Here is a 21,711-nt window from a genome sequence, read left to right on the forward strand (position 1 = left end):
TATTCTATTCACTGACCTCCTCTCTTGGTCCAGTGCTGGGAAATGTCACCTTTCAGGACTTTCACAGAGATGCTAGAAATCTCTGTCCCTTCCCTACTCACAGCCCTTCCCTGGTTCCCCACTGCCCTTGGTGAAAAAGACAAAATCCTCACTGTAGCCCACAAGGGCTTATGCATTTGGCCTCTGTCCATCTCTCAGCCCTTCCCTGCTCCCTCTCTACCCATTGCTCTCTGCACCGCAGCCAAATCGGCCACCCAGCACAATCCAGCCTCAGGGCCTTTGCACTGGCTCTTCCTTCTTCAGGGATTTCTCTTCCCTCAGGTATACACGGTGAGTGTTCTCTTATCTCCTTCAGGTTTCTCTTTCTCTCTCTCTCTGTCTTTTTTCGGAGAAGGGGGTCTTGCTCTATTGCCCAGGCTGGAGTGCAGTGGTGTTATCATAGCTCACTGCAGCCTCCAACTTCTGGGCTCAAGTGATCCTCTCGCCTCTGCCTCCCAAAGTGCTCGGATACAGACATGAGCCACTTCACCTTTTTCTTTTTTCTTTGTTTTAACGGGGTCTCTGTCTATTGTCCAGGCTGGAGTGCAGTGACATGATCTCAGCTCACTGCAACCTCTGCCTCTTGGATTCAAGTGATTCTCCTGCCTCAGCCTCCCAAGTAGCTGGGATTACAGGCATGTGCCACCATGCCTGGCTAATTTCTGTATTTTTAGTAGAGACGGAGTTTCACCATGTTGGCCAGGCTGGTCTCAAACTCCTGACTTCAGGTGATCTGCCCGCCTCAGCCTTTCAAAGTGCTGGGATTACTGATGTGAGCCACTGCACATGGTCAGTGGCCAGGTTTCTTTCTTTCTTTCTTTCTTTTTTTTTTTTTTTTGAGATAGAGTCTTGCTCTATCGCCCAGGCTGGAGTGCAGTGGCACGATCTCAGCTCACCGCAACCTCTGCCTCCTGGGCCCAAATGATTCTCCTGCCTCAGCCTTCCGAGTAGCCAGGATTATAGGGACGCACCACCACACCCAGCTAATTTTTGTATTTTTAGTAGAGATGGGGTTTCACCATGTTGGCCAGCTGGTCTTGAACTCATGACTTCAAGTGATCCGCCCGTCTCGGCCTCCCAAAGTGCTGGGATTACAGGTAATGAGCCACCGCGCCCAGCCCAGATTTCTTATCTGAGAGATCTTCCACTGTTTCTAGATATAAAATCATAGATTTCGCCCTCCCAACTTCCCATTCTCTTTCATGTTTTATTTTTCTCCATAGCACTTAGTGCTCTCTGACCTGTCATAGTTTTTACTTATTTGCTTATTACCTGTTTTCCACACTCAAATGTCAAGGCAAGGATTTTTGTCTATTTTACGTCCCCCAGTGCTTTAGAACACCACCTGGCACATAGTACGGAATCAATTAATTTATTCATTTATCATATGAATATATGATTCTAATTGCTTCATTCATTCGCTTAACACAGGGGCTGGCAAATGATAACTCATGGGCCCAAGCTGCCTCGTGTTTTAAAAATTATCTTAGCTTGTATCTGTAGTCCCAGCTACCCGGGAGGCTGAGATGGGAGGATCGCTTGAGCCCAGGAGTTTGAGGCTGCAGTGAACTATGATCCTGCCACTGCACTCCAGCCTGGGCAACACAGCAAGCCCGTCCCTGTAAAATAAATTAATTTAAAAAATTAAAAATGAAAATTATGGCTGGGTGCAGTGGCTCACGCCTGTAATCTTAAGACATTGGGAGGCTGAGGCAGGAGGATCACTTGAGCCCAAAAGTTTGAGATCAGCCTGGGCATCCTGGCAAAACCCCATCTCTATAAAAAATATAAAAATTACCTGGGTGTGATGGTGTGCGCCTATAGTCCCAGCTACTCAAGAGGCTGAGGTGGAAGGATCACTTCAGCCTGGGAGATGGAGGTTGCAGTGAACCACGATTGCACCACTGCACTCTAGCCTGAGCAACAGAGACAGGGTCTCAAAACAAAATGAAACAAAACAAAATAAAAATTATTTTATTTATTTACTTTTCTTGGTATTGATTTGACGTTTACTATTTTTATATTTTATTATTATTATTTTTGGTATTCCGCATATTCAGAAAAACTTCTCTAGTAACAATCTATATAAAAATGATCCCTGAAAGTAGAGTCTTACTGCCTTATTTTGAAAATAAAATTTAACCAATACACGGTCAGGCCCATTTGTTGACACGCTGTCTATTTTTTTTTTTTTTTGAGATGGAGTCTTGCTCTGTCATCCAGGCTGGAGTGCAGTGGCCTTCAGGTCTGGCTGGATCCAGGGGCTCAGGCAATATCTCAGGACACCTCCTCCCCACCCTTGGTCTTTCCATCTCTCTCTCTCTATTTTTTGTTTGTTTGCTTTTTTGTGTTTTGAGACAGGGTCTCACTCTGTCACCAAGGCTGGAGTGCAGTGGTGCGATCTTGGCTCACTGCAACCTCCATCTCTTGGCCTCCAGTGATCTTCCCACCTCAGCCTCCTGAGTAGTTGGGACTACAGGTGCACACCACAATGCCAGGCTAATTTTTGTATTTTTAGTAGAGATGGGGTTTCACCAAGTTGGCAAGGCTGGTCTTGAACTCCTGACCTCAAGCAATCTTCCCCGCCTTGGCCTCCAAAAATGCTGGGATTGCAGGCGTGAGTCACCGCACCCAGCCCTCCATCTCTTAACTCTGCTTTCTTGTGGGTGTTTTCCTCCATCCTCAATCATTCTTTTCCCTCATGGAGGCAGATGAGGGTGACCAACTACTCCAGATTTATTTATTTATTTATTTATTTATTTATTTATTTATTTAAAGTCTAAGTTTTGCTCTGTCACACAGGCTGGAGTGCAATGGCATAGTCATAGCTCCCTGCAGCCTCAAACTTCTGGGCTCAGGAGATTCTCCTACCTCAGCTTCCCAAGTAGTTGGGACTAATAGGTGTGCGTCACCATGCCCAACTGTTTTTTTAATGTTTTAAAAACATTAAAACACAGCCAGACATGGTGGCTCACACCTGTAATCCCAGCACTTTGGGAGGCCGAGGCAGGTGGATCACGAGGTCAGGAGATCGAGACCATCCTGGCTAACACGGTGAAACCCCGTCTCTACTAAAAAATACAAAAAATTAGCCGGGTGTGGTGACGGGCACCTGTAGTCCCAGCTACTTGGGAGGCTGAGGCAGGAGAATGGCGTGAACCTGGGAGGTGGAGCTGGCAGTGAGCCGAGATCCCGCCACTGCACTCCAGCCTGGGTGACAGAGCAAGACTCCGTCTCAAAAACAAACAAACAAACAAAAAAACATTAAAACATTCAATGGAGATGGACCTCACTGTGTTGCTCAGGCTGATATGGAACTTCTGGCCTCAAATGATCCTTCTGCCTCAGCCTCCCAAAGCTCTTAGATTACAGGAATGAGCCACCACATCCAGCCTGCTCTAAATTTATATTCTCATCACTCTGAGTTCGATGGAAAATAGGGGGGTTGGCTTTCTGGTCACTGAAGCCAAGGTCCTAGCATTATCCTTCGTTGAACATGATTCTTTTTATTTTATTATTATTATTATTATTATTATTATTATTATTATTTTGAGACTGAGTCTTGCTCTGTTGCCCAGGCTGGAGTGCAGTGGCACAATCTCGGCTCAGTGCAACCTCCACCTCCTGGGTTCAAGTAATTCTTGTGCCTCAGCCTCCCTAGTAGCTGGGATTACAGACAGGTAGGTGCCACCACACCTGGCTAATTTTTGTATTTTTAGTAGAGACGGGGTTTCACCAGATTGGCCAGGCTGGTCTTGAATGACCTCACGTGATCTGCCCACCTCGGCCTCCCCAAGTGCTGGGATTACAGGTGTGAGCCACTGCACCTGGCTGTTTGAACATGATTCTTTTTTTGTGGAGGTGGGAGGTGGCTGGTCACATGTCTATTTCTGAACCGGCTGCTGTGGCCAGGAGAATACCATGCTCTGATGGGCCAGGCCAGGGTCATGTGCCTATTCCTTGAGTTGAGGTTGGGGTGGCTTCCACAGAGGAAACTGAGGAACTGTTACCTCAGAAGGGTAAATAAGATGTCAGGAGGCAATCAGTGTTTATATGGGCAGTGACTTCTAAATTTAAGCCAGAATTTCTGATTCTCAGTCCTGTTGACATGTGGGGCCGGATCATTTTCTGTCCTGGGAGCTGCCCTGTGTATTCTAAAATGCTTAGCAGTATGCTTGGACTCTATCCATTTCACACAAGTAGCACCTCTCCTCAGTATCTCCAGACATTGCCAAATGTCCCCTGGGAGGCAGAATCGCCCTGGGGGCGGGCAAACCAGTTTTGGAGGGAGTGAGCTTGCTGTCTTGGGGAAAATCCAAAGAGATCTGATGATTACTGGCTGAGAACAGCAAAGAAGAGATTGAGGGCTTCTTTGAATTAGAATATTTATTTTAATTTCTTTCTTTCTCTCTCCTTTCTTCTTTTTTTTTTTTGACAGAGTCTCACTCTGTCGCCCAGGCTGGAGTGCAGTGGCGCGATCTCGTCTCACTGCAAGCTCCACCTCCCAGGTTCACGCCATTCTCCTGCCTCAGCCTCCCGAGTAGCTGGGACTATAGGTGCCCACCACCATGCCCAGCTAATTTTTTATATTTTCGTAGAGATGGGGTTTCACCGTGTTAGCCAGGATGGTCTCAATTTCCTGACTTCATGATCCACCTGCCTTGGCCTCCCAAAGTGCTGGGATTTCAGGCATGAGCCACCGCACCCGGCTCTTTCCTTTCTTTTCTGTTCTGCTTTCTTTTCTTTTCTTTCCCTCCTTCCTTCCTTCCTTCCTTTCTGATGGAGTCTCTCTCTGTCACTCAGACTGGACTACAGTGGTGTGATCTTGGCTCACTGCAACCTCCGCATCATGGGTTCGAGTGATTCTCCTGCCTTGGCCTCCAGAGTGGCTGGGTTTATAGGCATGTGCCACCATATCCGGCTAATTTTTGTATTTTTTAGTAGAGAAGGGGTTTTGCCATCTTGGCCAGGCTGGTCTGGAACTCCTGACCTCAAGTGACCTGCCTGCCTTGGCCTCCCAAAGTGCTGGATTACAGGCATGAGCCACTGCACCTGGCCTTATTTTTTATTTAATGATGGGGAGAGGCCAGACGTGGTGGCTCATGCCTGTAATCTCAGCACCTTGGGATGCTGAGGCGGGTGGATCTCCAACATGGTGAAACCCCATCTCTACTAAAAATACAAAAAAATTAGCCGGCCATGGTGGCAGGCGCCTGTAATCCCAGCTACTCGAGAGGCTGAGGCAGAAGAATCACTTAAGCCCAGGAGGTGGAGGTTGCAGTGAGCTGAGATCGTGCAAGTGCACTCCAGCCTGGGTGAGAGAGTGAGACTCTGTCTCAAAAATAAAATAAAATAAAATAAATGCTGGGGAGAGGAAGAGGGGAGGAAGACTCATTTGATGTTATTTTATCATCAGTGATAAGGGCTACACTGATTGCTGGGGTTACAGCACAGGACATAATGGACACAGTTAATACTTTTCTGAGTTCATGCCCTCTTGAGGGAGGGGGTGGTGTTTTTGTTCCTTGTGGCTTTTGTAACAAAGAACCACGGATCGGATGTCTTAGAACAAAGGACATTTATTCTCTCATAATCCTAGAGGCCAGAGGTCTGAACTCAAGGTGTCTGCAGAGCTGTGCTCCCTCTGGGGGCTCCAAAGGAGAATCTTTCTCTGCCTATTCCTGCTTCTGGGGGCTCCAGATGATCCAGGACAGGCGAGCCCCTAGATTGGGGCTTAGCCCTGGAGGGTTCTTGGCTTCACCCAGGAAAGAATTCAAGGGCAAGCTGGTGGTGTTAGCAAGTTTTATTGAAGCAACCATGCAGAGCAGCAGCAGAGGTACTGTTCCTTGCAGAGCAGGGCTACCCCATTGGCAGTGAGCCCAGAGTAGCAGCTCAGAGGCAGTGCTGCAGGCATATTTATCCCGTTTTAATTATATGCAAATCAAGGGGTGGATTATGCAGAGATTTCTAGAAATAAAGTGGTAACTTCTGAGTTGTCAGGTCTTTGCCATGGAAGGGGGCATCAGCTTCTGGGTGTTGCCATGGCAATGGTAAACTGACATAGCACTGGTGGCCATGTTTTATGGAGAGGCACTTTTGCCTCTTCCCTGTTTCAGCTAGTCCTCAATCTGGTCCAGTGTCTGAGCCCCACCTCCAGAGTCGAGTCCTGCCTCCTATTTCACATGCATCCTTGGATTGTGACTCCATCTTTACATGGTTTTCTCCTATGTCTGTCTGTGTGTCTCTTACAAGGACACTTGTTATTGGATTTAGGGCCCACCTGGATGATCCCAGATGGCCTGGGTGGGTCTTAAATATCTCCTCATCTTGAAGTCCTTGAGATACCTCCTCATCTTGAAGTCCTTGAGTTATCTCCTCATCTTGAGGTCCTTGAGATATCTCCTCATCTCGAGGTCCTCAAGCTATCTCTTCATCTTGAGGTCCTTGAGATACCTCCTCATCTTAAGGTCCTTGAGTTATTTCCTCATCTCGAGGTCCTTGAGATAACTCCTCATTTTGAGGTCCTTGAGATACTTCCTCATCTTGAGGTCCTTGAGCTAGCTCCTCATCTCGAGGTCCTTGAGCTATCTCATCTCAAGGTCCTTGAGCTAGCTCCTTATCCTGGGGTCCTTGAGCTACCTCCTCGTCTCAAGGTCCTTGAGATATCTCCTCATTTTGAGGTCCTTGAGCTATGTCCTCATCTCAAGGTCCCTGAGACATCGCCCCATCTCAAGATCCTTACCTTACATCTTACAAAGTCGTTTTCTCCAAAAAATGTTCACAGGTCACCTTCACAGCTTCCAGGGATTTGACCTGGATACATCTTTAGAGGGGGCCAGACCCATTCCAGACAGTAAACAAATAGACAAAACGCTGGCACATTGTAATAAATGTCACAGATGAAACAAACCCAGGGATCAAGGGGAAGAAGAAGAGGAGGGCATGCTTTCTGGAGGGTGGTCAAGGAAAGCTGAGAGCTGCAGGAGGAGGAGCCAGCTCTGGGAAGCATGAGGCAGAGAGGGCAAAGACTGTGCAAATGCCCTAAGGTGAGAAGAATCAGAATGAAGGAGCTTCTGGAAGGAAGGGAGTGAGTGGAGGGAGAGTGGTAAAGAATGAGGTTTGGGAGGAAGGTACTTACCTAGAATGGCTATGGGGATGTGTGTGGAACTTAAGGGGGGGATGGGAAATCCTTGGAGCATTTAAGCAGATCAATTGTTTAAAGAGGTCCCTGACCAGGTGTGGTGGCTCATGCCTGCAATCCCAGTGTTTTGGGAGGTTGAGGCAGGAAGATCACTTGAGGCCAAGGGTTTGAAACCATCCTGGGCAACATAGTGAGATCCCACCTCTACAAAAAACAAAAAAAGAAGAGAGATCTGGAAAAAGAAGGTTGATGAAGGCATCCCCATGAGAAGTGATGGTGGCCTCGACTGGGAGTTGGGAGTCATGGATCCAGCTCACATTTTCATTGAGGAGGAAGGGTGGAGGTGGATGAAAAGAGGAGGCAGGTCTCATATTCCAGGAAGGCAAGAATTAAAAAAAAAAAGGAATGAAATGAAATGAAAAGAGGAGGCAGGGTGGTGTCTAGGTTTACAGCTTAGGGACTTGCGTGAATTAGGGTATCTTCTACTGTAGTAGGAAGACTAGGGGAGGAACAGGTCTTGGGGAGTTTGATCAAGCAAGGGAAGGAAGGCAGTACAGCATAATGGCTAGCACATGGTTCTTTTTTCTGTTTTGTTTTGTTTTGTTTGTTTTTGTAGAGACAGGGTCTCACTATGTTGCCCAGGCTGCTCTTGACATCCTGGGCTCAGGTGATCCTCCCATCCCAGCCTCAGTGCTGGGATTACAGGGCATGAGCTACCATGCATGTCCGGTGCATGGTTCTTAACTAAGGGGTGGTGTGGGGCAGCAGTGGGGGCGAGGGGAGTGACTCTGTCCTCCCAGGGGACATTTGGCAATGCCTGGAGACAGTTTCAGTTATCACTACTGGAGGGCTTGGTGTGTTATTGATATCTATTGGATAGAGGCCAGAGATGCTTCTGAGTGTCTTCCAATGCCCAGGACAGGCCCCTCTCCCACCAAATGTCAACAGCGCTGAGACCGAGGGACTCAGTGCTAGGCACATGGACTCCAGTTGTGTGGGGGGTCCAGGTTCCAGTCACAGCTGTGGGATCTTGGGCAAGTTATCAAATGCTTCAAGAAAGGACCATATATATGGCCGGGCGCGGTGGCTCACACCTGTAATCCCAGCACTTTGGGAGGCCGAGGCAGGTGGATCACAAGGTCAGGAGATCAAGACCATCCTGGCTAACACGGTGAAACCTCATCTCTACTAAAAATACAAAAAATTAGCCAGGCATGGTGGCGGGTGCCTGTAGTCCCAGCTACTCCGGAGGCTGAGGCAGGAGAATGGTGCGAACCTGGGAGGCGGAGCTTGCAGTGAGCCGAGATCGCGCCACTGCACTCCAGCCTGGGTGACAGAGCGAGACTCCATCTCAAAAAGAAAGAAAGAAAGAAAGAAAGGACCATATATCAAAAATGACCCCAAAAGCAGAGGGAGCCAAGACACCAAAGAATGCAGCAGACAAATCCTGTTTGTTGGTAAAGGGTGATTTGTTGGGGGAGCTTATGGAGAGAAGAAACATGGTCTTGGGCGGCGGCAAGACAGGTACCTCTCTGCACCATTACCTCACAGACCCAGTGCTTATATAGTACAGGAAAATGTGCAGGACCCAGTGCTTATATAGTACAGGAAAAGGCAGTCCTCCAGAACAGGCAAAAACACCGTGCACATCACAGCCTATAATTTGTATGATAACATCAAGTTTGCTTTGATATGTTCTTACACTAGGGACAGCAAATAATGTAGAACTCAGGAGACATTCCCGGGAGTGGGGTTAATCAGAAGTCAACATGGCAATTAGCATCCAAGATGGGGCCACTTTGTCTTCACACAGAACCTCTCTGTGACTCAGTTTCCCTATCTTTCAAATGGAGATAAAACTAGTCCCTACCTTATAGGATTGTTGTAAGAATTAAAAATGAGGTAATAATTGTAAAGTCGTAAAGTGCTTCAAGCAGTATCCATTAAATGATTGATAAATAAATCATTGGTAAATGATTTACCAGTGATACTGATAAATGACTTCTTTATCATTTATGAAAAATTGATAAATGATTTATTTACCAATAAACCAACGGTAAATGATTTATTTACCAATAAACCAACGGTAAATGATTTATTTACCAATAAACCAACGGTAAATGATTTATTTACCAATAAATCAACGGTAAATGATTTATTTACCAAGGGTAAATGTCACTCATTGATAAATGACTTATTGGTAATAAATCAATTATTAGTTTATTGGTTTATTGGTAATAAATCATTTATCAATGAGTGAAATCATTTGGGACAAAGAAGAGAGAGGGAAAAGAGGTGGTCTGAGGGTTGGGCCTTAGGTTGTAACAGCATAGAAACATTGGGGAGAGGAGAATACAGTGACTGAAGAGGAAAACCAGGCCAGGCGTGGTGGCCCATGCCTGTAATTTCAGCATTCTGGGAGGCTGAGGCAGGAGGATTGCTTGAGCCCAGGAGTTTGAGGCTGCAGTGAGCTATGATTGCATCACTGCGCTCAGGCCTGGGCGACACAATGAGATTCTGTCTCAAAACAAAACAAAAAAACAAAGAGGATAACCAGATGGGTGTGGTGTCAAGAGACCAATGCCGTTGAGAGGAGTAGATTCAGAAAGTGTCATGAATAGCAACAAAAGCAATAGGTCACTTTAATGAGCACCCACTATGTTCAGGTGTTGTTCTAGGTACTTTATACTTATTAACACTTTTGAATTTTCACAACAAATCCATGGTGTTGGCACCATCATATATTTAGGTTATTAGTTATTGCTGTGAAACAAACCACTCCAAACTGAGTGATGTAAGAAAAACATGATTTTTGATTCTCACAGATTCTATGACTCAGGAATTCAGACAGGGCATAGTGATGATGGTGCCTCAGCTCCATGGTGAGAAACTTTGACTTTCTGGGAACTAGAATGCTCTGGAGGATTCTTCGTCACATGATGGGTGTCTGGGCTGGGATGACTTGAGGCTATGCTCAGTTGGGGCTATTGACTGGAGCACTTACGTGTGGTATCTCCAAGTGGCTTGGGCTTCCCCACAACATGGCGACCGGGTTTCAAGAAACCCGGAGAGAGAGCAAGTATTCCTCAAAAAGATCAAGCCAGAAGCTGCAAGGCGTCTTCTAACCTACTTGGAAATCACGCAGTGTCACTTACAGCAGTTTTCGTAACAAGAAGCCATACCCTGGCTTCTCTCTTCCTACCCTAGGCACCAGCAGGGACCTCCAATTGGCTGAACCTATCTAGGAGCAGGGTGCAAAGGAGCCTGGGAAATGTAGTTGTCTTCCTGGCAGCGCAAAACAAAGGAAGGGGATGAGTCATTAACCAATCAGGTTAATGACCTACATGAACCTTGAGCAAATGACCCTCCTTCTCTGAACTCTGTGTATCGCTCGCGAAATAGGAGCCCTACTTCATTGCAGGATCGTTTTGAAGACCAGAGGAGACAGTTGTAATGCACACGAATTGCTTCACCCAGGGCGTAGTTCTTTTATTTATTTATTTATTTATTTATTGAATTAATTTTATTTATAACTCTAATGGGTAAGCAGCCTGGTTCTCAATTGATGGGAGCTGTCAATATTGCTATTGGTCTGAGAACTGATGATACGTAACGGTTTACTATGTCCTGGCACAGGGTGGCACGTCTTAGCTCTACTGGTCCTGCTGGTTTTGGGGTTTAGTCCACTCTTTTTGCTTGTTTGTTTGTTTGTTTGTTTTTTGAGATGGAGTCTCACTCTGTCGCCCAGGCTGGAGTGCAGTGGTGCGATCTCAGCTCACTGCAACCTCCGCCTCCTGGGTTCAAGTGATTCTCCTGTCTCAGCCTCCCGAGCAGCTGGGACTACAGGCGCGTGCCACCGCGCCCAGCTAATTTTTGTTATTTTTAGTAGAGACAGGGTTTCACCATATTGGCCAGGCTGGTCTCAAACTCCTGACCTCGTGATCCGCCCGTCTCAGCCTCCCAAAGTGCTGGGATTCCAGGGGTGAGCCACCGCACCCGGCTAGTCCACTCTGAGATCAAGCCTAGATATCCTTTCTTGTGACCGTCTCTGCCATGAGCTACCAGGACATGACGAATCTGCCTTCCTTCTTGCTGCCTGTTAGAGATATACCCTGGTGATCTAATCACCTCTTAAAGGTCCCGCTTCTCAACACCATTGCATTGGGGATTATACGTTCCCAACATGTGCACATTCAAACCATAGCAGCGTTTAAGCACTCCAAGGATATGGGTCTACTGCCTTCAGCCTGACTTGCTATTGAGTGTGTACTCGAGAGAGAGGTGGGAGAAATACTTCAAAGGCTTCAAAATCATTTATTTGTCCTTCTTTATAGGGACCCCGGGAGATATGGCAGAATATGGGGTGCTTGGGGTGACAGCCACTTGCTGCATTTTGATTACATGGCCACGGTTTGGGCATATCGGCACCTGAGACCACCCTTGGTTCACTCCCTTCCTCCCTCCCCCTCGCTTACTCTGCTCCAGGCACACAGATCTCCTGGCTCCAACATGCCAGGGCCTCAGGGCCTTTGCACTGGCTGTTCCCTCTGCCTGAAATGCTTTTTTCTCAGAGCCTTTGCACTAACCTCAGGGCTTCTTGTACTAACCTCACTGGCTATTCCCTCTGCCTGAAATGCTTTTCCTCCAGACACCCACCTGGATTGTCCCCTCACCTCCTTCAAACCTTTACTGAAATGCCACTCTCTCAATGAGGCTTCCTGGACTTCCCTATTTAAAATTGCACCCCCTCCTGACATTCTCCATTCCTTTTCCTACTTATTTTTTTCTCGCTTAACACTTACCACCTTCAGACAAGCTATGTAATATACTCCTACAATACCTTCATTGTCTTCCTTTGCCAGAATATCAGCCCCTTGAGGGCAGAGATGCTTATCTCTTTGGTTCATAGCTGTATCTCCAGCACCTAGACCAGTACTGGGTGTATAGTAGGTGCTCAATAAATATTTGCATATTTGGCCAGGCACGGTGGCTCACATCTGTAATTCCAGCACTTTGGGAGGCCGAGACGGGTGGATCACTTGAGGTCAGGAGACCAGCCCAGCCAACGTGACAAAACCCTGTCTCCACTAAAAATACAAAAATTAGCCAGGCATGGTGGCAGGTGCCTATAATCCCAGCTGCTCAGGAGGCTGAGGCAGGAGAATCACTTGAACTCAAGAGGCGGAGATTGCTGTGAGCCGAGATTGCAGCACTGCACTCCAGACTGGGTGACAGAGTGAGACTCAGTATCAAAAAAAAAAAAAAAAAAATTGCATAGTGAATGAAGGAGTGTCTGAATGATCAAAGCCCTCTCACCTGCTACTCCCTTTGCTTGGAGCCTTTTTACCCCCTTCACACTCTAAAGTAAGAATAGTTTGAATTACAAAGAATACAAATTTATCTCTCATTCACTATGTTTTATCAAGAGTAGGAGCAAAATGGCCGGGCACAGTGGCTCATGCCTGTAATCCCAGCATTTTGGGAGGCCAAGGCGGGCGGATCATCTGAGGTTGGGAGTTCGAGACTCAGCCTCACCAGTATAGTAAAACCCAGTCTCTACTAAAACTGCAAAATTAGCTGGGCGTGGTGACGCATGCCTGTAATCCCAGCTACTCAGGAGGCTGAGGCAGGAGAATTGTTTGAACCCCGGGGGCAGAGGTTGTTGTGAGCCGAGATCGTGCCATTGCACTCCAGCCTGGGCAACAAGAGTGAAAGATCGCGCCATTGCACTCCAGCCTGGGCAACAAGAGTGAAACTCCGTCTAAAAAAAAAAAAAAAAAAAGAGTAGGAGCAAAAATATGACTAAGACTGTATTTTGCATTATTGACCAATGATGGTTTACATTATTTCCTTATTTTCCACCCCATCCTCCCCCACCCACTCCCTAAGCTGATAGTCATCCTATGCACCTAGTTTTAGGGGAAAGACACAGCAGGGCAGCCAGTATCCTGCTGACTTAAAAAAAAAAAAACCAGCTATATTGACATACAGTAAATTACATATTTAAAATACATTGGTGGGGCGCGGTGGCTCACGCTGTAATCCCAGCACTTTGGGAGGCCGAGGTGGGCAAATCACTTGAGGCCAGGAGTTCAAGACCAGCCTAGCCAACATGGTGAGACCCTGTCTGTACTAAAAATACAGAAATTAGCCAGGCATGGTGGCACGCACCTATAATCCCAGCTACTCAGGAGGTGGAGGCAGGAGAATCGCTTGAACCTGGGAGGCGGAGGTTGCAGTGAGCGGAGATCGCATCATTGCACTCCAGCCTGGGCAACAGAGTGAGACTCTGTCTCAAAAAAAAATATATGATTTGGTAAACAATTTTTTCTTTAATTTCTAGATTTGTTTTCAGAAACGGTCTTGGCAGGGCATGGTGCCTGAAGCCTGTAATCTCGCCCCTTTGGGAAGCTGGTGTGGGAGGATTGCTTGAGTTTAGGAGATCGAGATCAGCCTGGGCAACATGGTGAGACCAGCCTCATCTCTAATAAATAATAAATAAATAAATAAATAAATAAAATAATTAGCTGGTCATAGTGGCATGTGCCTGTAGTCCCAGCTACTTGGGAGGCTGAGATGGGAGGATCATTTGAACCCAGGAAGTCGAGGCTGCAGTGAGCCAGGATTGCACCACTGCACTCCAGTCTGGGTGACAGAGTGAGACCCTGTTTCTCCCCTTCCCCCCCCCACCCAAAAGAAGGGGGAAAAAAGAAAGAATCAGGGTCTCCCTATGTTGCCCAGACTGGCCTTGAACTCCTGGACTCAAGCGATCCTCCTACCCTAGCCTCCTGAGTAGCTGGGATTACAGGTGTGTGCCACTGAACCTGGCCTGATTTGATAAATTTTGACATATGTGTGCAACTATGAACCCAGCCTTGAAATCAATGGATCATATCCATTGCCCCTCAAAGTTTCCTCCATCCCACCCCTCCCTGCCTCCCCCTCCTCCCACCTCTCATTCCCTCGTACCTCCTGATTTGCTGTTAGTCACTGTCGATTAGTTTGTATTTCCTGGAGTTTTATGTAAGTGGAATGGTACCATCTGTGGTCTTCTGTGACTGGCTGCTTTCCCTGAGCATGATGTCCTGGTTCATCCATGTTGTTGTATGTATCAGTGTACCATTCTGTTGTACGGATGCACCCCAGTTTGTTTATCCATTCATCCCTTGATGGAGGTTTTTTTGTTTGTTTCGCTTTGTTTTTTTGAGATGGAGTCTCGCTCTGTCGCCCAGGCTGGAGTGCAGTGGCGCAATCTCGGCTCACTGCAACCTCCGCCTCCCAGGTTCAAGCGATTCTTCTGCCTCAGCCTCTCGAACAGCTGGGACTACAGGTGTGCGCCACCACGCCTGGCTAATTTTTTTGTATTTTTAGTAAAGACAGGGTTTCACCATGTTGACCAGGCTGGTCTCGAACTCCTGACCTCATAATCTGCCCACCTCGGCCTCCCAAAGTGCTGGGATTACAGGCGTGAGCCACCATGCCCGGCCTATACTTTAAGTTCTGGGATACATGTGCAGAACGTGCAGGTTTGTTACATAGGTATACACGTGCCATGGTGGTTTGCTGCATCCATCAACCCATCATCTACATTAGGTATTTCTCCGAATGCTATCCCTCTCCTAACCCCCAGCCCCCGACAGGCCCCAGTGTGTGATGTTCCCCTTGGTTGAGGTTTGAATTACTGATGGCACTTTTGGCTATCATGAATCAAGTTGCTAGCTGGATATGGTGGCACATGCCTGTAGTCCTAACTCTTTGGAAGGCTGAGGCAGGAGGATTGCTTGAGCCCAGGAATTTGAGACTGCAGTGAGCTGTGATTGGGCCAGGCTGCACTCCAGCCTGGGTGACAGACTGAGACTGTCTCAAAAAAAAAAAAAAAAAAAAAAGGAAAGAAAAGAAAACAGAATCAAGCTGCTATGAACATTCTGTACAAGTCTTTGTATGGACATGTGCTTTCATTTCTCTTGAGTAAATGCCTGGTAATGGAATATATCGTATGATAGGTGCATGCTTAATGTTTTAAGAAAACTTACCAGGCCAGTCACGGCGGCTCATGCCTGTCATTCCAGCACTTTGGGGAACTGAGGCGGGAGGATTGCTGGAGCCTAGGAGTTTGAGACCAACCTGACCGACATAGTGAGGCTCTGTTTCTTAATTTTTTTTTTTAATAAGAAGAAAATGTACCAACTTTTCTTCCTTTGTGCTGGAATTGCAAGGTAAAAAAATAATAGTAATAACAAGGAAAACGTACCAACTTTTCCAAAGTGGATCTGCCATGTGATGTTCCTGCCAGCTGCTCAGCATGCTTCTCTTCTTTGCTTCACTATCTGTCTCATTTTTTTTTTTTGAGATGGGGTCTTGCTCTGTTGCCCAGGCTGGAGTGCAGTGGCATGATCTCGGCTCACTGCAACCTCTGCCTCCTGGGTTCAAGCGATTCTCCTTCCTCTGCTTTCCAAGTAGCTGGGACTACAGGCGTGTTCCACCACACCCAGCTAATTTTGTATTTTTAGCAGAGACAGGTTTCACTATATGTTGGCCAGGCGCGTCTCAAACTCCTGACCTCAAGTGATCAACCCACCTCAGCGTCCCAAAGTGCTGGGATTACAGGCATGAGCCACCACACCCAGCTTCTTTTTTTTGTTTTGTTTTGTTTTTTGTTTTTTTGAGACATCCTCGGTCTGTTGCCCAGGCTGTGCAGTGGCGTGATCTCGGCTCACTGCCACCTCCGCCTCCTGGGTTCAAGCGATTCTCCTGCCTCAGCCTCCAGAGTAGCTGGGATTACAGGCGCCTGTCACCACGCCTGGCAAATTTTTGTGTGTGTGTGTGTGTGCAGTCGGGGTTTCACCATGTTGCCCAGGCTGGTCTTGAACCCCTGACCTCAAGTGATCCGCCCGCCTCAGCCTCCCAAAGTGCTGGGATTACAGGCGTGAGCCACCGCACCCAGCCGCTCACCATCTCTTTGTCGCCTGCATGGCACCATTCTCTCCTGTACCACCCCAAAGCCTTACCAGGTGCCTCCTGCATTTAACCAGGTCCCATAGCTCTCTGTGCTTCCCGGCACACCCTCTCACCACCCTCATCATCAATTATTCACCTTGCTGACTGCTTAGTGTTTGTCTCCTGGCTGGATTACATAAGCCCTGTAAGGGCAGAGCTCTGTTTGTCTTGATCACCATTAGGTTCTGGTGCTTGGCATACAGTAGGCATTCCACACATGCTTGCTGAATTAATGCATGACCGGGTCTGGGGTGCTGGGTTTCACACCAGGCTCTACCGCAAACATTGGGTCAAGTATTTTCATTCCCGACGTACAGATGAGTCAATTGAATCAACGGAAAGCAAAATGATCCCATCCAAGCTCCCTCAACTTGCCGGGCTGGTCTGGGAGTCGAACCAGATCTGCCTGACCCTCCCACCGGTGCTGAAAAGTGGAGTGTGTGCTGGGGTGGTAGGGGATGGGGCAGAAGAGAGACGGGCTTCCTCACAGAAGGGTTTGAGGGCTAGGATGAGGCGTGCACACTCTGCACCCCTGCTTCGGAGCTTTGAAAGGGTGCACAGCACACCCGCCCTCTCTGGGAACCCTCGGGAGCTTGAGGTTGCCTGATGAAGGGGCTGATGGGTTGAACGCAAAGGGCCCCTCCACCCACCCTTTTTTCTATCTCCCCAACCAAGCCCTGGTAACAGGCATTTCCGGTTTCCGGCCGGCTCCCTGGTGCTGGGGTGGGGGTGGGGAGTTGATTGCTGCCGTCGTGCTTGGCTCTGGGTCCCCTTCTCCCAGACCCCAGAGGCCTCTGTCCCTGCACACTGCTTCCCCGAAGGAGCGTGGAAAGCCAGCCGACCTTTCTGGCTCTTTCTTCATCTTGGGCAGGGGTTTTGTTGATGGGAGGCTGGCTGGCAAATGGGGAAGAATGAACCTCAGGGTTCACCGCAGTGCGCCTGGGTGCTGATTTGCATATGGGCACGATGCCAGCACAGTGGGTGCCCGCCTCTTCCTGGAGGAAGGAAGAGGGGCACTGAGGGGGGTTGCCCCCAGCAGGGAGGAACCGTCCTCATAATGCCTCTCCTACGTTTGTTTAAAGGACCATCATTCTCAGCAAACTATAGCAAGGACAAAAAACCAAACACCGCATGTTCTCACTTATAGGTGGGAATTGAACAATGAGAACACATGGGCACAGGAAGGGGAACATCACACACAGGGGACTGTTGTGGGGTCGGGGAAGTGGGGAGGGATAACATTAGGAGATATACCTAATGCTAAATGAGGAGTTAATGGGTGCAGCACACCAACATGACACATGTATACATATGTAACAAACCTGCACGTTGTGCACATGTACCCTAAAATTTAAAGTATAATAATAATAAAATTAAAAAAAATAAAGGACCTCCTGTCCTTTGCCACTTTCTCACACTCTTCAGGCGACCAGGAAGTCCTTTCTGGTGGTCTAACTGCAGTCACTGCTGCTGTCTGATGGAGCCCCTTTCTTTAGCTGGCCCCACCGCAGCCCGGAGAGGGGATGAATCATGCCCCCTTTCCCCTCTTTGAGGCATCACATGACTGGAAGGAAGCTGTCTCCGGGTTCAGCTGATCTCCCTGAGGTCAGGAGGGAACTTCCTCCCTCGAGCCACAGACACAGCCATCTGCTCTATTGTCTCTGGTGATCTGCCTGCCCATGAGCGCCCTCATTATGCCACTCTCTAAGAGGCACCAGGAGCAGCTTAGTGTGGTTCAAAGAGGCAGTGTTGTACAGAGGTTAGAGGCACAGACTTTGGGATCCAGTGCTGGTATCTGGTTCTCCATTCCTATCTGTGTGGTCCGGGATGGGCAGTATCCCCTCTCTGAGCCTCAGTTGTTTCCTCTGTCAAAGGGAGATTTATTCATTCGACAGATTTTATTGAGCATCTACTATGTGTCAGACATGGTACTAGGTATTGAGGTCCTCTATTTACCCAAAGGAGTTGAACATTTATGTCCACACAAAAACTTACACTCAAGTCTTTGTAGCGGCTTTATTCATGATTGCTGAAACTGGGAGGCAACAAATTGTCCTTCGGTAGATGAATGCGATGTAGGGCAAGGCAAGCCCTAAATTGGGGCTCAGCCTGGGACGGTTCTTTGTTTTGCCCAGGAAAGAATTCCAGGGCGAGCTGGAGGTGTTAGACAGTAGCTTTTACTGAAGTGAAAGTGCATAGCGGCAGTTGCAGAAGTCCTGCTCCTCGCAGAGCAGGGCTACCCCACAGGCTGTGAGCCCGGAGTAATCAGGGTTGCAGTCATCTTTGTACCCACTTTAATTATATGCAAATTAAAGGGCAGATTATGCAAATTTCTAGGAAAAGGGTGGTAACTTCTGGGTTGTCGGGTCATTGCCTTGGGAAAGGAGTAGTAGCTGCTGGTGTTACCATCACAATGGCAAACTGCCATGGCACACTGGTGGGCATGTCTTATGGAAAGGTGCTTCTGCTCCAGCCCTGTTTTAGCTAGTCCTCAATTTGGTCCGTTGTCTGAGCCCCACCTCCAGAGTCAAGTTCCACCTACTTCCTCGTATGGATAAATAAGCTGTGGTGCATCCAGACAATGGAATATTATTATTATTATTAGAGATGGACTTTTGCCCTTGTTGTCCAGGCTAGAGTGCAATGGTGTGGTCTCGGCTCACTGCAACCTCTGCTTCCCAGGTCCAAGCTGTTCTCCTGCCTCAGCCTCCTGAGTAGCTGGGTTTACTGGCACCTGCCACCACACCTGGCTAATTTTTGTATTTTTAGTAGAGATGGGATTTCACCATGTTGGCCAGGCTGGCCTCAAACTCCTGACCTCAGGTGATCCAGCCACGTCGGCCTCCCAAAGTGCTGAGATTACAGGTGTGAGCCACTGCTCCCAGCGCAGACAATGGAATATTATTCAGCACTGAAGAGAGATGAGATGAGCTCTCAAGCCATGAAGAGACACGCAGGAACCCCAAATGCATATTACTAAGTGAAAGAAGCCAGTCCCAAAAGGCTACATACTATATGATACCAGCTATGTGATGTTTCAGAAAAGGCAAAACTGTAGAAGCAGTAAAAAGATCAGTAGTTGTCAGAGGTTAGTGGAAAGGGGGTATGGATAGGCAGAGCATGGAAGCTTTCCACGGCAGTGAAAATACTCTCTATGACACTATAATAGTGGATACCCATCATCATACATGTGTCCAAATCCAGAGAATGTGACGCACGGCAGGCAAGCCCCAAAGTGGGGCTTAGCCTGTGAGGCTTCTTGGTTTCACCCAAGAAGCCTCACAGGCTAAGGAAAGAATTCAAGGGTGATTCCAGTGGTAGGGTAGACGAAAACAGCTTTATTGCCGTGGCAGTGTTACAGCTCCATGACTGCTCTTGCAGGGCTACCCCACAGGCTGAGAGTAGCAGCTCAGGGCAGTTTGGCGGTCCTATTTATATTTATTTATTTATTTATTTAGAGACAGAGTCTTGCTCTGTCGCCCAGGCTGGAGTGCAGTAGTGCAATCTCAGCTCATTGCAACCTCTGCCTCCCAGGTTCAAGCAATTCTCCTGCCTCACCCTTCTGAGTAGCTGGGATTACAGGCGCGTGCCACCACGCCTGACTAACTTTTGTATTTTTAGTAGAGATGAGGTTTCGCCATGTTGGCCAGGCTGGTCTCAAATTTCCGACCTCAGGTGTTCTGCCTGCCTTGGCCTCCCAAAGTGCTGGGATTACAGGCATGAACCACTGTGCCCTTCCCATACCTCCTTTTTTTTTTTTTTTTGAGACGGAGTCTTGCTCTGTCGCACAGGCTGGAGTGCAGTGGCGCAATCTTGGCTCACTGCAAGCTCTGCCTCCCACGTTCACGCCATTCTCCTGCTTCAGCCTCCCAAGTAGCTGGGACTACAGGCGCCCGCCACCATGCCCGGCTAATTTTTTGTATTTTTAGTAGAGATGAGTTTTCACCATGTTAGCCAGGATGGTCTCGATTGCCTGACCTTCCTGAGGCGTGAACCACCCGCCTCAGCCTCCCTAAGTGCTGGGATTACAGGTGTGAGCCACCGCCCCCCGGCCCATACCTCCTTTTAATTACATGTAGAGTAAGGGGCAGTTTATGCAGAAATTTCCAGGGAAGGGGTAGTAACTTTTGGGTGATCAGGTAATTGCCATGAAAAGCGGTGGTAAGGCCGGGCGCAGCGGTTCATGCCTGTAATCCCAGCACTTTGGGAGGCCGAGGCGGATGGATCACCTACAGTCAGGAGTTCGAGACCAGCCTGGCCAACATGGTGAAACCCCGTCTCTACTAAAAATACAAAAATTAGCTGGGTATGGTGGCACACACCTGTGATCCCAGCTACTCAGGAGGCTGAGGCAGGAGCATCGCTTGAACCCGGGAGGTGGAGGTTGCAGCGAGTTGAGATCATAATACTGCACTCTAGCCTGGGCCACAGAGCAAGACTCCATCTCAAACAAAACAAAACAAAACAAAAACAAAGAAAATAGACCAGTTGTGGTGGCTCACATCTGTAATCCCAGGACCTTAGGAGGCTGAGGCAGGAGGATCACTTGAGCCCAGGGGTTCGAGACCAGCCTGGGCAACATAGTGAGACCCTCATTTCTACAGATACACACACACACACACACACACACACACACATACACGCACACACACATGAGTTGGGGGGATGGTTTCAGGATGAATCAACCACATTACATTTATTGTTCACTTTATTTCTATTATTATTACATTGTAATATATAATGAAATAATTATACAGCTCACACATATGTGTATATATATATGCACACACACTATATGAATATTATATATAGTAATATTTATTCATTTATATGAATAAAAAAGAAACTAAAAGAGAGGAGGAAAGGAAGGAAGGAAGAAGGAAGGAAGGAAGATCAGCCTGGAGTCTCTGGACTGCCCTGATGGAAGTGTCTTGGATGCTAAAGGGGTTTATGGGCTGATTCCCTCAACTTCCTCCCGTCTAACAAGGTCTGGTGTTCCATCAAGGCAGTGGCTATGCTCCCAAGAAGTTTGCAAATGACAGAAAACCTAATTACAGGTCAACAAACCATGACCTGTGGGCCAAATGCAGCCTGCCACCTGTTTTTGTAAATGAAGCTCTTTTTTTTGAGATGGAGTCTCACTCTGTCACCCAGCCTGGAGTACAGTGGCACGATCTCGGCTCACTGCAACCTCCGCCACCCGGGTTCAAGCAATTCTCCTGCTTCAGCCTCCCGAGTAGCTGGGATTACAGGTGCATTCCACCACGCCCAGCTAATTTTTGTATTTTTAGTAGAAACGGGGTTTCACCATGTTGGTCTGGCTGGTCTCGAACTCCTGACCTTGTGATTCACCCGCCATGGGCTCCCAAAGTGCTGGGATTCCAGGCGTGAGCCACCATGCACGGCCAACAATTTTTTTTAATGAAAATAATTTTTTCTCAATGCCGTTTTGGAAGAGAAGCAAACTCGTATGTGGGTTTTAAGTATGGCTTCATTCAGTAGCTCCAACAATGTCATCAAGGACTGCATGTCTC

At 47.8% G+C, this 21,711-nt stretch overlaps 1 protein-coding gene across 4 annotated transcripts in view, besides 4 other annotated features; it reads left to right on the plus strand.

The window, feature by feature from the left end:
* VAV1 (vav guanine nucleotide exchange factor 1) overlaps positions 1–21,711 on the plus strand; it is an 84,654-nt gene that overhangs the window by 12,093 nt on the left and 50,850 nt on the right. The window lies entirely within an intron of this gene.
* Positions 10,085–10,285: a silencer, noted in NCBI's record as "peak3307 fragment used in MPRA reporter construct". NCBI's record gives its function as "represses an SCP1 promoter by STARR-seq MPRAs in K562 erythroleukemia cells {active_cell/tissue: K562}" and the evidence as "EXISTENCE:reporter gene assay evidence [ECO:0000049][PMID:32103011]".
* Positions 16,912–17,432: an enhancer, noted in NCBI's record as "H3K4me1 hESC enhancer chr19:6801723-6802243 (GRCh37/hg19 assembly coordinates)". NCBI's record gives its function as "activates a minimal SCP1, AML or CMV promoter by ChIP-STARR-seq in naive H9 embryonic stem cells {active_cell/tissue: H9 hESC(naive)}" and the evidence as "EXISTENCE:reporter gene assay evidence [ECO:0000049][PMID:30033119]".
* Positions 17,223–17,292: an enhancer, noted in NCBI's record as "active region_13865". NCBI's record gives its function as "activates an Ori minimal core promoter by ATAC-STARR-seq in GM12878 lymphoblastoid cells {active_cell/tissue: GM12878}" and the evidence as "EXISTENCE:reporter gene assay evidence [ECO:0000049][PMID:35858748]".
* Positions 18,175–18,394: an enhancer, noted in NCBI's record as "active region_13866". NCBI's record gives its function as "activates an Ori minimal core promoter by ATAC-STARR-seq in GM12878 lymphoblastoid cells {active_cell/tissue: GM12878}" and the evidence as "EXISTENCE:reporter gene assay evidence [ECO:0000049][PMID:35858748]".

This window comes from Homo sapiens, chromosome 19 (genome assembly GCF_000001405.40).
Source record: "Homo sapiens chromosome 19, GRCh38.p14 Primary Assembly".
Taxonomy (NCBI): domain Eukaryota; kingdom Metazoa; phylum Chordata; class Mammalia; order Primates; family Hominidae; genus Homo; species Homo sapiens.